General features: G+C 44.3%; 1 protein-coding gene across 4 annotated transcripts in view; it reads left to right on the top strand.

Moving 5' to 3' along the window:
- NHEJ1 (non-homologous end joining factor 1) overlaps window positions 1–13,726 on the top strand; it is a 91,459-nt gene that overhangs the window by 8,628 nt on the left and 69,105 nt on the right. For all 4 annotated transcript variants that reach the window (NR_165304.1, NM_024782.3, NM_001377499.1 and 1 more), the window contains exons 4-5: window positions 4,393–4,531; window positions 5,450–5,508. Coding sequence is in view for 3 of the 4 variants with exons in the window: in NM_024782.3 (NP_079058.1) it covers window positions 4,393–4,531; window positions 5,450–5,508 (198 nt within the window). In the remaining variant the exon portion in view is untranslated. The remainder of the gene's footprint in view (window positions 1–4,392; window positions 4,532–5,449; window positions 5,509–13,726) is intronic.

Raw genomic sequence — 13,726 nt, 5'->3', positions numbered from 1 at the left:
AAGCTCTTTGATGGCAGAGGCCTCATAGGGTCAGAGTACATATTAGGAACCCAGTAGATATCTGTTGAATTGACTGATGAACTGTATATCTTCATATATTGCTGTCTATAAATTACGGGGAGTGTCCCTGACATCCTAAAGCCCTTCAAGATTTTTCCTTATAGTGTCTGTGGATTTGCTTTGAACTATTTACACATTATTATTATTATTATTGTTATTTGAGATGGAGTCTCTCTCTGTCACCCAGGCTGGAGTGCAGTGGCATGATCTCGGCTCACTGCAGCCTCTGCTTCTCAGGTTCAAGTGATTCTTGTGCCTCAGTCTCCTGAGTAGCTGGGACTACAGGTGCGTGCCACCATGTCCGGCTAATTTTTTGTGTTTTTAGTAGAGACAGGGTTTCACCATGTTGGCCAGGCTGATCTTGCATTCCTGGCTTCGGGTCATCTGCCCACCTCAGCTTCCCAAAGTGCTGGGACTTTTTTACACATTTTATCTAGTCTCTCATATGCCCATTAACACATATTTTCAAAATTTCTACTGAGCATTAATTTAAGGCTATCTGGTCTAAGAGAAATCATTTTGGTGTTCATCTAACTTTGAAATGAATTATACCTCAATAATTCAAAATGCTGTAACCCAATCCTATGAAATTATTTTAGCAGTTACAATATTTACTGATAAAAAAACTTTCTTTAAACCAAATAGACATTGGGGTCTGATAGATAATTTCAGTTGCCTGATGTGGCATTATCATATTTAATTAGACATGACATTAATTAAAAGCTGTTCCTTGTCATGTTTCATGTTTTTATACAATATTTACTGTCACTCGAGGAAATTGCTATTGAGGTAGCCATCCAGAGGGAAGCTGGTTATTAATTTAGGAGTTTCTGTTGTTTCAGTGCTGCCGCCAATTGGATGGTGTTGCTGCTTGGGTAGTAATGACAATTATTTCAATTCAACTCATCAAATATTCACTGTCATTTATACAAGTATTTGCCTGTTTTCCTCCTGATCTACCTTAAACAGTACCAAACTTTTTTTTTTTTTTTTTTTTTTTGAGATAAGGTCTCACTCTGTCACCTAGTCTGGAGTGTAGTGGTGCAATCTCAGCCCACTGCAACGTCCACCTCCTGGGCTCAAGCAGTTCTCCCACCTCAGCCTCCCAAGTAGCTGAAAATATAGGCATGCTTTAGCACACCTGGCTAATTTTTTTTTTTCTGTTTTTTTTTGAGATGGAGTCTCACCCTGTTACCCAGGCTGGAGTGCAATGGCGCAGTCTCGGCTCACTGCACCCTCCGCCTCCTGGGTTCAGGCGATTCTTCTGTCTCAGCCTCCCGAGTAGCTGGAATTACAGGCACCCGCCACCATGCCCAGCTAATTTTTGTATTTTTAGTAGAGACGGGGTTTCACCGTGTTGGCCAGGCTGATCTTGAACTCCTGACCTCAGGTGATCCACTTGCCTCGGCCTCCCACAGTGCTGGGATTACAGGTGTGAGCCACTGCGTCCGGCCAATTTTTTGTATTTTTAGTAGAGATGAGGTTTCACCATGTTGCCCAGGCTGGTCTCAAACTCCTAAGCTCAAGCGATCCGCCTGCCTTGGCCTCCCAAAATGCTGGGATTATAGGCGTGAGCCACCATGCCCGCCCAGCAGGACCAAATTTAACAAAACAATTCCTAGGAAAGAAGATCGAGTGTAGAGCAGATAAATTTTTCCAAAGCTGAACTTCTGCCACATTCTGAACAGTACTTCCTAGAGGGTTAAGTTTTTGCTAAGGACCTCAATTGGGAGTCAGTGCCAGGTTGGGATGTGCTGTGTGGTAGAAGGAAGACTCTAGTATCTATAGCTGGACTTTATTTCTGGCTTTCCCCTCTGTGCCAGAACCCTTCCATTTCTTAGTCCTTGGTTTTGGTACAAAAGCTGCCGCCACTAACTTCCTTTCTTCCCACCTCCCCACATCCAGTCTTTTCTAATCTAGCAGAAATGTGGAAAAAAGTCTTTTCCTCTTAATTTGAGCCAAAGCACAATTAGAACTTTTAGTAGTAAATTTTACCTAGAAAATGAATGGAAAATGAAAACACAAAGGTCTGAAAGAGTCCAGACGTCTAATCTGGATCCAGATGAGTCTGGCTTGCACATGTTATGGGATACTCTAGTACCTTTTCCTCATTTCAAGCCTGTTGGGGTATCTTGTCTAAAAGTACTCCTTTTTCAGGTCTAGGACAGGGGTTGGCATACTATGGCCATGGGCCAATTCTGGCTTGCTGCCTGTTTTTGTAAAGCTCGGTTGGAACACAGCCACTTGATTTGTTTACATATTGTCTGTGGCTGCTTTTGTGCTACAACAGGAGAGTCCAGTAGTTGCAACAGGGACTGGATAGGCCACAAAGCCAAAAATGTTAACTATCTGGCCCTTTATAGAAAAAGTTTGCTGACCTCTGATCTAGGGCATTTCTTCTTTTTAGTGCCTTCTTTAGTTCATCTCCTTAAGGAAAGGGAAAGGAAGTCTGATAACTTCCCTTAGTCACAGATAGATTATTAATTTGAATTATTTTATTTTATTTTATTTTGAGACAGGATCTTGTTCTGTCACCCAGGCTGGAGTGTAATGGCATGATCTTGGCTCACCGCAACCTCTGCCTCCCGGATTCAAGCGATTCTTGTGCCTCAGTCTCCCGAGTAGCTGGGATTACAGGCATGTGCCACCATGCCTGGCTAATTTTTGTATTTTTTGTAGAGACTGGGTTTCATCACGTTTCCCAGGCTGGACTCGAACTCTTGGACTCAAGCAATCCTCCAACGTTGGCCTCCCAAAATGCTGGGATTACAGGCATGAGCCGGCCTAGTTATTTTTTTTGACAGGTTAATGGACACCTTGTGTAGGTGAATTAAATGATTATTCTATATAGCTATACATTATCATATGAGAGTATCACCCTATTTGTACGGCAGTATGGCTGCGTTTGCATTCTTCTTACCTCTTGTTAAAAATGGGGTGTGTGGGCTGGGCACGGTGGCTCACGCCTGTAATCCCAGCACTTTGGGAGGCCGAGGCAGGCAGATCACCTGAGGTCAGGAGTTCAAGACCAGCCTGACCAACATGGTGAAACCCCGTCTCTACTAAAAATACAAAAATTAGCCGGGCATCGTGGTGCATGCCTGTAATCTCAGCTACTCGGGAGGGTGAGGCAGGAGAATCGCTTGAACCTGGGAGGTGGAGGTTGTAGTGAGCTGAGATCGTGCTACTGTACTGTAGCCTGGGCAACATGAGCGAAACTCCTTCTCAAAAAAAAAAAAGGGGGGGTTGTGTGTAGAGTGCGTTGGCTTATACCTTCCTAGGCTAGTTCTTGGTAGCTGGCTTGCTTCTATTATAACAATAACCTTAGACTATGCTGCATTTGTGGGAACAGATTGAAACTCCAGGGTCCTTCTGGGCTATCATGAGCCCTGAAATGGCTCTTAGTGTCTGGATCTAATTTGATCTTCAAGGGTCTTTACCTTCTGTTGATTTTTGTCTTCTGTTACACTTTAGCTAGTGTACTCTGTTTTTGCCACACTTATTTTCTTGAGGGCTACTTGGATCTTCAGCTTTTCTCATTTGTTTGTTTGTTTTCTTCTTGTTGTTTTGAGATGCAGTCTTGCTCTGTTGCCCAGGCTGGAATGCAGTGGCATGATCACAGCTCACTGAAGCCTTGACCTCCTTGGCTCAAGTGATCCTTCCACCTCAGCCTCCCGAGTAGTTGGGATTACAGATGCATGCTACTGTGCCTGGCTAATGTTAAAAAATTTTTTTTTGGTAGAGATGGGGTCTCACTATGTTTGTCAGGCTGCTCTTGAACTCCTGGGCTTAAGTGAGTTCCTACCTCGGCCTCCCAGAGTGCTGGGATTACAGGCATGAGCCATCTCAGCTGGTGGGATCTTGTTTTTGAGAAAGAGTCTCACTCTGTCACCCAGGCTAGAATGCAGTGGTGCAATCTTGGCTCACTGCAACCTCTGCCTCCTGGGTTCAAACAATTCTTGTGCCTCAGCCTCTCGAGTGGCTGGGATTACAAGCTTCTGCCACCAAGCCCAGTTAATTTTTGTATTTTTAGTAGAGATAGGGTTTGGCCATGTTGGCCGTGCTTGTGTCAAACTCCTGACCTCAAGTGACCCACCCGCCCTGGCCTTCCAAAGTGTTGGGATTACAGACGTTAGCCACTGCACCAGCCACCTTCTTAATATATTTAATTATTGTATTTGTGTTTACATTCATGTAAATGGGTTACTTGCCTATGAAACTATAAGTTTCTGTAAGAACATTTATTTTTCGGTATTTTTTCTGGTACCTAATACTGAATTGGAAAGTACTTTATAAGAGTCTTTTGGCTAATTGATATCTCTTCCCTCAAAGGTCTCCCAACATTTGATTCGTCCTCTGATGGGCATGAGTCTGGCATTACAGTGCCAAGTGAGGGAGCTAGCAACGTTACTTCATATGAAAGACCTAGAGATCCAAGACTACCAGGAGAGTGGGGCTACGCTGATTCGAGGTAAGAGGACATTCTTGGAGGAGTTGGGTGGGGCGTGTTAAAAATAGTCAAAGGGTCTTAGCAAAGAGGGAGACTCATTTGCATTAGAGAAGTGCCTCCCCCAGGATGGGTGCTGAATACTAACCAGAAACTGGAGTCTTGATATTAGGTGACTCTTTTTTGTTTGTTTGTTTTGGAGACGGAGTCTCGCTCTGTCAGCTAGGCTGGAGTGTAGTGGTATGATCTCAGCTCACTGCAACTTCCGCCTCGTGGGCTCAAGCGAGTCTCCTGCCTCAGCCTCCCGAGTAGCTGGGATTGTAGACGCACGCCACCATGCCTGGCTAATTTTTTTGTATTTTTAATATAGACGGGGTTTCACCATGTTGGTCAGGCTGGTCTCGAACTCCTGACCTCAAGTGATCTGCCTGCCTTGGCCTCCCAAAGTGCTGGGATTACAGGCGTGAGCCACCGTGCCTGGCCTAGGTGACACTTTTCTCTGCCTCGAGTACCTGGCTGGAGCCCAAGTGGCCAATAGAAGCTGTAACCGAGTCCAGACATGCCCTAGGCAATGGCAGGGAAAGACTTTGGAAAGGAGCCAATAGCTATACAGAATTGTACCAGAGCAACATGGACTTGGGAGTTTAGGAAGCTTCATGGCTCCAACTTCAGAATAAAAATTCAATTTGGCCTTTGTTTTTGTGGCAGGAAAAACTCCTAGAGCAGATGCTGCCACCAAACCTGCCATTTATTGCTAATCACCCTCTCCCACTACTTTTTGCCCACATGCTCTCAGCCCTTCTTCTCCCACTGAACTAGGTGTCTCTGCATGATGCACCTTCCTCCTCTTTCCTAAGTAGCCCTGTTCTGTTCCCTTTCCATCAGGTAAGAAACTCATCCTGTATGACTCATATTTCTTTTTTCTGATCCTTCTTATTACAGATCGATTGAAGACAGAACCATTTGAAGAAAATTCCTTCTTGGAACAATTTATGATAGAGGTAAGGTATTTGTCATTTTCTTGTGTGTCTTTGCCCTACTTCCTCTTTCCAGGTGCCTGAGTGGCCATTTGTGTTTTGGGTGTTAGGTGGCTTGTGTGGTTGGAATGCCCTTTGTCTGAAAAAGTTGCCCATAGAAAGTCTGATAAGGCTTGAGATGTACTTAGGGAAGATGAGGGAAAAAACGGGGAAAGAACGTAAGAGGCGGAAGTGGACTGATTGATATTTATAAAACATCTCTGTTAAAGTACCAGGGATTTCATTTGGAATTCTCTAACCTTGGAAAGGTTGGTTGACCAGTTATTAAATTTTTGCTTGTTGAGATCTGGTCGTAAGGTCTGGACTGTGGAGGAGAAGGGTAGGCGTCATTACTTGTCTAGGCCCTTTCAGGATCCTGCAGGAGAGGAAGGTAAAAAGCTTAGGGCTACCATTTGGGGGCTGTCTTGTGGGCACAGTAGGTTGTGGAAAATCACAGTGTTTATACAAGGGGACTGGCAAAGGAATGAATGGGGAGTAGATAATTGTGGCCTGTCAGAAGCTCCTGCCTAGGTTTCCCTTCTAAGGATTGAGCTCAGCCAAAAGAAACATCTATTAAATGCCAAATAGGGAAAGTATTAATAATAGTGACCTTTGATAATGCCAGTCAATATTGATCTTCTCCTTCCCTCCCTCTTCTGTGACTTGTTGGTTGTACAGTTAGTACCTTAGTATTATTGCCCCATTTTCTTTTTTTTTTTTTTATTTTTTTTTGAGATGGAGTTTCACTCTTGTTGTCCAGGCTGGAGTGCAATGGTGCGATCTCGGCTCACAGCAACCTCCGCCTCCCGGGTTCAAGCGATTATCCTGCCTCAACCTCCTGAGTAGCTGGGATTACAGGCATGTGCCACCACACCCAGCTAATTTTGTATTTTTAGTAGAGATGGGATTTCTCCATGTTGGTCAGGCTGGTCTGGAACTCCCGACCTCAGGTGACCACCCACCTCGGCCTCCCAAAGTGCTGGGATTACAAGTGTGAGCCACTGCGCCCGGCCTATTGCCCCATTTTCTAATTATATATGTTACCCAAGTTGGTACTTTATCATGTAAGTAAATAATGCTATTATAATCTGGTATTATGTATAGATTATTTGTATTTCTTTATTGTCTTCTAGATTAATTTGTAAGCTCTTTGTGGACAGGGTCTGTGTCCCGTACCTCTTTTGAACCCTAAATTAGCACTTTTTAAAGGGCTAGGCATAAAGCAGGTATTCTTTATTTGGAACCTCCTGTTCTGCCTCTGTGCATTGACTGAGCTACAATGCTTGGGGTCTAAACACTAAAAGCAAAAAATGTGAGGTAGGTGCTCAGTCCAGGTACTGAAGCAATTGTAAGTCTGAAGAAGAAGGAAAACTTGTATTGCTAAGTCCTGAAAGAGAAAAGGTTTCAAGTCTTTTTGTTGTTGTTGTTGTTGTTGTTGTTGTTTTTGAAACGAAGCCTCACTTGCTCTGTCACCCAGACTGGAGTGCCATGGCACAATCTTGGCTCACTGCAACATCCCTTTCCCAGGTTCAAGCAATTCTCCTGCCTCAGCCTTCCAAGTAGCTGGGATTACAGGTGCGCACCACCACACCCAGCTAATTTTTGTATTTTTAGTAGAAACGGGGTTTCGCCATGTTGATCAGGCTGGTCTTGAACTCCTGGCCTCAAGTGATCCACCCTCCTTGACCTCCCAAAGTACTGGGATTATAGATGTGAGCCACCATGCCTAGCCTAGAAAAGGTTTCAAGTTTTTATGGGTAAAGAGAGACCGTTAAACCTAAACTTGTGACTAAGAGAGATTTCTTAGGCCGTTTTTCTCTTAGATAGCTTCCCCTGTCTATAAGTTTAGGTATCAAGGCTGGGGATAACATGCTGGTTCCCTGCCTCATCCCCTTAGTTAAACAATGCAAGGCTTGTTCTTAGCTCAGTAGAGAGGTCTCTTCCTGATCTAGTGCCTGCATACCTCTCCAGCTTGACTTCTTGACATTTTTCTCTGTGTACTTTATGCCTTAGCTATATGGAATGACTTTTAATTTGCCCCAATGCTGTTTCATCTTGTCTTTAGATACACATTCTTCCCATGATCTAGAATGTCCAATGTTCTGGCCTTATCTAACTTGCAAACTTCTATTAATCTTCTAGATGTCAGCTTCACCTTGTTTGGGAGACCGTTCTGTACTCTGCTTGTAAAGACTATTCTTCTTCCCTGCTACTATAGTACCTTGGATTATACCTCTGTTTTACCACTTATAACATTGTAATATTACTGTTTGTATGCCTGCAAGACTATGGCTTTCTCCTCCACTGATCTGTGGACTCTTTGAGGCAAGGACCATGCTGAATGCATTTCTATATCCCCAGCACTGTGCGTGGTGCCTACAGGTAGTAAGTCTTCAATAAGTTTGGATTAATATTTTGATAAGTCTATGCTAGGGGGATTTTATACAGATTATGACACTGTGGCCTGTGGATACAGTGTTGCTTTTTTTTGGCTGGAGTGCAGTGGGGTGATCTCGGCTCACTGTAATCTCTGCCTCCCGGGTTCAAGAGATTCTTGTGCCTCAGCCTCCTGAGTAGCTGGGATTACAGGTATGCACCACCACACCTGGCTAATTTTTGTAGTTTTAGTAGAGACAGGGTTTTACCATGTTGGCCAGGCTGGTTTTGAATGCCTGGCCTCATGTGGTCCGCCCACCTTGGCCTTTCAAAGTGCTGAGATTACAGGCGTGAGCCACTGCACCTGGCTCAGTGTTGCTTATTAGACCTATATTTGGGGTCTTCAGTTATTCTCATGGCTCATTTTGCAGCTTTGGATAAATCACTTCTCATTTATAAAATTAGAGGCTCATCGTTTTCATACTATGGGGTTGGGAGGAGCCCTGCGGAATTGAATGAGAAAGCATACAGAATTTAGGTGGCAGCACAGGAAGAGTATCAGTGTTTTGGAACCAGCTACTTCAAGAATACTGGTCCTGTAGGTTCTGGGTGGATCAACCTCATAGACTTGTAGAATTTTATTATATCTGGAAAGGAAGTGAGAGATAGGTAGTTGTAGTTACAGCTTTCTATTTTATAGATGAAGAAGTTGAGCCTCAGAGAGGTTAAGTGACTTGCCTAAGGTCATATAGCTGTAGCTTTATGTTTAGGACTTCTCACATTTCTTGACACATAGTCTAGGATTATCCCTGTTTTGTTTTGCTAGTTTAACTGGTTGTACACACCTGTTAGGGGAGACATAAGGGCTGGGGTAATATGGAATTCTTGTGACCTCTGGGGTCATTGCACTGTCCTCAGAATGTCCTGTATAGCTGCTGGAACTGAAAGGTTTCCTACTGGGGCTGTAGAACTTCTTATGACTACTGCATCTTTTTAGTTACTCTGCTTGCCCGGGGTCCTACAAACAGGACACAGAAGGGTCATGGGGTCACCCAAGACTGAACTGAAAGGATGTGCCATCAAAATAAGCAAGATGGAATAGGAAGATAAACAAACCAGGGAGAGAGCTCAAGATGAAGGCGCAGGGGGGCCAGGGCTGGTGTCAGAGGGCCATGCGGTCATTGCCTGGGGTCAGTTTTTAAAATTCTCATTGGGATTATTACTAGGCAAGAGGCTATAGACAATAAGGCACAGGGGACAGTAGGCCAGGCAGGTGGCTAGGATACTAAGGCTCGGGAAAATAAGAATTGAACAGGGGTTACTTCTCCCTATTTGGTCCTTTTGTTTTTCCACTCTGTCTAAGAGCCTCTGATTTCTCAATTCTGGGGAACCCAAGGAGCCAGTTGATAGTGGCCTAACTAGAGGGTGATACTGACAATATTGACTCAAGTCAAGCCTGGGTGGGATGCCTGTTGGCATGATCTTCATGGAGGCCAAGAACCCTATATAGGGCATTTTGTAGGACTGGGGGTTGAGAGGCATCTTTAGGAGTGAAAGAAGAGTCAGGGACTTAGGGACTGTTGTTACACGGCAGTAGGAACTATATGAAAAAGGAAGTTTAGGATGACTGGGCAGAGCCCACTCTCAGTCTAGTCCACTGGAGGGAGTTCCTTCCCCTGGCCCTGTCCATGCCTCGCTCTCTCCATCTGGTTGCCATCAGGCTGTGTGGCTGCTGGCGGGCTCTTTATTTATTTATCCCAGTGTAATGGGGTGAGGAGGGAGCTGGCCTAAGGCTGGCATTCCAAGGCCATGCCACTGAGCCACAGGCAGTTTGCATGGGTGTGTGAGTCACTGGGGCTGCATGCTGCTCAAACCAGACGCGGCCAGGCTCAGGGACAGCAGGCAGCCCAAAATAGAGCCCCGCCCTCTACAGCTGGCAACCCCTGGCTAGGAATCAGCCCTTGACACCAAAACCTGGGCAGTTGCTTGAAGTTGGCTTCCTTTGGTAGGGGTCCCTTAGCAGAGATGGAGATTTTGCAATTCTCTACTCTTCTCTCCTCTTCTCTTCTCTTCTCTTCCCTGCAGTCGTTCTTACTGCTGCATTCTGAATGCCTTATAAGTCTTAATCTGTTCAGTATAATACCTTAGCTAAGAAATTAGGGGGCTATAGTTAACATTGATTTGACTTAGCATCCTAAGTGCAGCCATGGTTGTTATATTCTGCCTAGTTTTAGTTACTGTCTTCAGCTCCTGTCTGGTTGCAGCCTGATTCTAGAGCAGATACTTTAAACTATGAAGAGAGTCACTGCTGCTCTTACGAAGCTAGAGCTTATATCGCCTGGGGAAGATGGGCAATGCTTTAACTTGAAAATTGCCATCTTGTTAAGCTTGTTCACACTTCTAATTGGTTTCTTTGGCTGGCTCTCCGTCTTCTGCCTGCCTCTTAAAGGTTAGTGTTTCCCAGGATCAGGTCCCTGATCCTCTGAGACTTCACTTTCCTTCCTCTGGGTCATCTCATCTAGACCCCAGTGTCAACTATTGTTGGTACATCGCTGAATACCAATTTTATATCTCCACTGTGTTTTAGGCCCATATTTCTTTCTGCATGTTTGGCATTTCCACCTGGATGTCCCACATAAAGCACATCCTAAACATGTCCAAAATGAATTATCTACTCCCCCAGACTATTTCTCTTATATTCCTTATCTTGGGGAATTATACCATCATCCATTCAGTTTTCTAAGCTAGAAATTTGGGAGTCACTCACTTTCCTCTTTGTCCTTACTTTCAAAGCCTAATTTATTGACCGTCTTTTGAATCTGCCTATCTTCTCTATTCTACCTCCCGTTGTCTGAAATTAGCCATTTTTCTCTCCCTTTTCCCCCACTCCCCCCCTGCTTTTTTTTTTTGAGACCAAGTCTCACTCTGTTGCCCAGGCTAGAGTGCAGTGGCACAATCTCGGCTCACTGTAACCTCTGCCTCCTGGGTTCAAGAGATTCTCATGCCCCAGCCTCCTGAGTAGCTGGGACTACAGGCTTGAGCCACCACGCCCAGCTAATTTTTGTATTTTTTGTAGAGATGGAGTTTCACCATGTTGGCCAGGCTGGTCTTGAACTCCTGACCTCAGGTGATCCACCTGCCTTGGCCTCCCAAAGTTTTGGGATTACAGGTGTGAGCCACTGTTCCTGGCCTTTCTGTCCCTTTTTTGGCTTGACCATGCAACAGCCTCCTAACTTGTCTCCTGGTCAGTTCTTATTCCCCTGCAGTTGAATTTGTAGTTTTGTCAGAGTGATGTCTTTGAAACTGAAACTTGATTATGACACTTTTTGCTCAGAGTCCTTTAGTGGCTCCCGGTTTCCTACAGGATAAAGTTCAAACTCCTTGCACGCCACACGTGATCATTTATGATTTGATCCTTTTGACATCTTCAGCCTGCTCCTCTGGCATTCCACTATAACATCTTTAAATACCACCTTGTGGATGAATCTCACATTTATTCTTCACTGTAGGTCTTACCCTGAAACTCCAGACTGCTTGTTTAACATTTTCATGAAGAAGTTTAAAAAATATCTTAAATTCAACACGTCCAAAATTGAACTTCCAGTCGTATGCCCAGATTTACTTTTCCAACAACCCCCTCCCATCTAAGTTGATGGAAGGTTCATTCTTTCACTTTTAGTTGGGTGAAAAAACCTTGGAGTCATCCTGACTGCTGTCCTCTCACTTCCTACAGCCAAAGTCCATCAGGAAATCCTGTTGGCTTTACCTTAAAACTATGCCCGTAATCTCACCTCTGCTGCTACCATACTGGAGCCACCATCATCTCCTACCTGCATTATGGCAAAAGCCTCCTTATTTGTATCCTGCAGCTACTCCTACCCCCTCCTGGCCTATTATCAACAAAGCTATCTTATTAAGTTGCAAGGCACATCGTGATATTCTTCTGCTCAAAGCCCTTCACTGGCTTAACACTTCATTTATAGAGTAAAATCCAAAGACTTTACCATGGCCTATAAAACCCTATATGATCTTATAGAACTCTCTTACCTTTCTGACCTCATCTCCTACAACTTCCTCCCTCATTCACTCCACTGCAGCCACACTGGCCTCTTGCTGTTTTTCTAACACTCTTAAGTGTTTTTCTAACACTCTAACACTGCCTTTAGGCCTTTACATTGGCTGTTCCCTCTGCCTGGAATGTTCTTTCTTCAGATATTTGTGTGGCCAACTTCCTCACTTCCTTAAAGTCTGTATTAGTTATCCATTGCTGTGTAACAAATTGTCCCAAAATTTAATGGCTTAAAATAACAGGCTGGGTGCGGTGGCTTACGCCTGTAATCGCAGCACTTTGGGAGGCCAAGGCAGATGGATCATGAGGTCAGGAAATCAAGACCATCCTGGCTAACACGGTGAAACCCTGTCTCTAATAAAAATACAAAAAATTAGCCGGGTGTGGTGGCAGGCGCCTGTAGTCCTAGCTACTTGGGAGGCTGAGGCGGGAGAATGGCGTGAACCTGGGAGGTCTCAGAGCTTGCAGTGAGCCGAGATCGTGCCACTGCACTCCAGTCTGGGCGAAAGAGCGAGACTCTGTCTCAGAAAACAAAAACAAAAACAAAAAACCCCAAAAAACCAAAAACACATTTATTATCTTGCATGGTTTCTGAGGGTCAGGAATCTGGGAGCAGCTTAGTGGGTGTGATTCTGGCTCAGTGTCTCTCATGATGTTGCAGTCAATATGTCAGCTGGTAACGCAGTCATTGTAACATCCGGATAATTCATATCCAAGCTTTCTCATGTGGCTGTTGGCAGGAGGTGCCATTTCTTGCTATGTGGCCTGTCCATAGGGCTACTCACAGGACCTGGTTTCCTCCAGAGCCAGTGATCCAAGAGACAAAGACCAAGGCCAGGTGGGGTGGCTCATGCCTGTAATCCCAGCACTTTTGGAGGCTGAGGCGGGCAGATCACCTGAGGTTAAGAGTTCAAGACCAGCCTGGCCAACATGGTGAAACTTCGTCTCTACTAAAAATACAAAAATTAGCTGGACATGGTGGCATGCACCTGTAATCCCAGCTACTCAGGAGGCTGAGGTGGGAGAATTGCTTGAACCCGGGAGGCAGAGGTTGCAGTGAGCTGAGATCACACCACTGCACTCCAGCCTGGGCAACAGAATGAGACTCTGTCTCAAAAAAAAAAGAAAAAGAAAAGAAAATGAGAAACGAAACCAAGACCAAATGGACCTGCAGTCCTTTTATAACCTAATTTCAGAAGTTACATTCTATCACTATCTCACTGTATTCTTTTTATTAGAAATGAGTCACTAAGTCTGGGTCACACTTAAGTGGAAGGTAATTAATTAAACTTCACCTCTTAAGGGGAGCTGTGTCAAAGAATTTGGAGACATATCTACATAGACTACATCCATCTACATGGACTACAACAATGTCTTTTTTCAAATGTTACCTTCCCAATAGAGTTTACCCTGACTACTCATTTAAAGTTGTAAGCTCCATTTGTCCCCCCTGCACCTTAGCACTCCCATTTCATCTTACCATCCTCTACTTTTTATTTTTTCTATAGCACCTAGTTTCCAACATATTGCCATAAAATTTACTTATTTTATTATACTTACTGTTTATGGTCTATCTCCTGTCTGTTAGAATGTAAGCTCAACAAGGACAAAGATGTATGTTTTGTGCACTGGTCTAGCCCAAGTGCCTAGAACAGTGCCTCCACACATAGTAGGCACTCTATAAGTGTTTGTTGAATAGAAGAAGAAATCATATCTTCCCACTCTTTTTTATTTTCCTCCTCTTATGAATAGGCCAGC

Source organism: Homo sapiens, chromosome 2, assembly GCF_000001405.40.
Source record: "Homo sapiens chromosome 2, GRCh38.p14 Primary Assembly".
Lineage (NCBI taxonomy): Eukaryota > Metazoa > Chordata > Mammalia > Primates > Hominidae > Homo > Homo sapiens.
The sequence above is the reverse complement of the archived record's forward strand: the minus strand, read 5'-3'. Positions and strand labels throughout refer to the sequence as shown.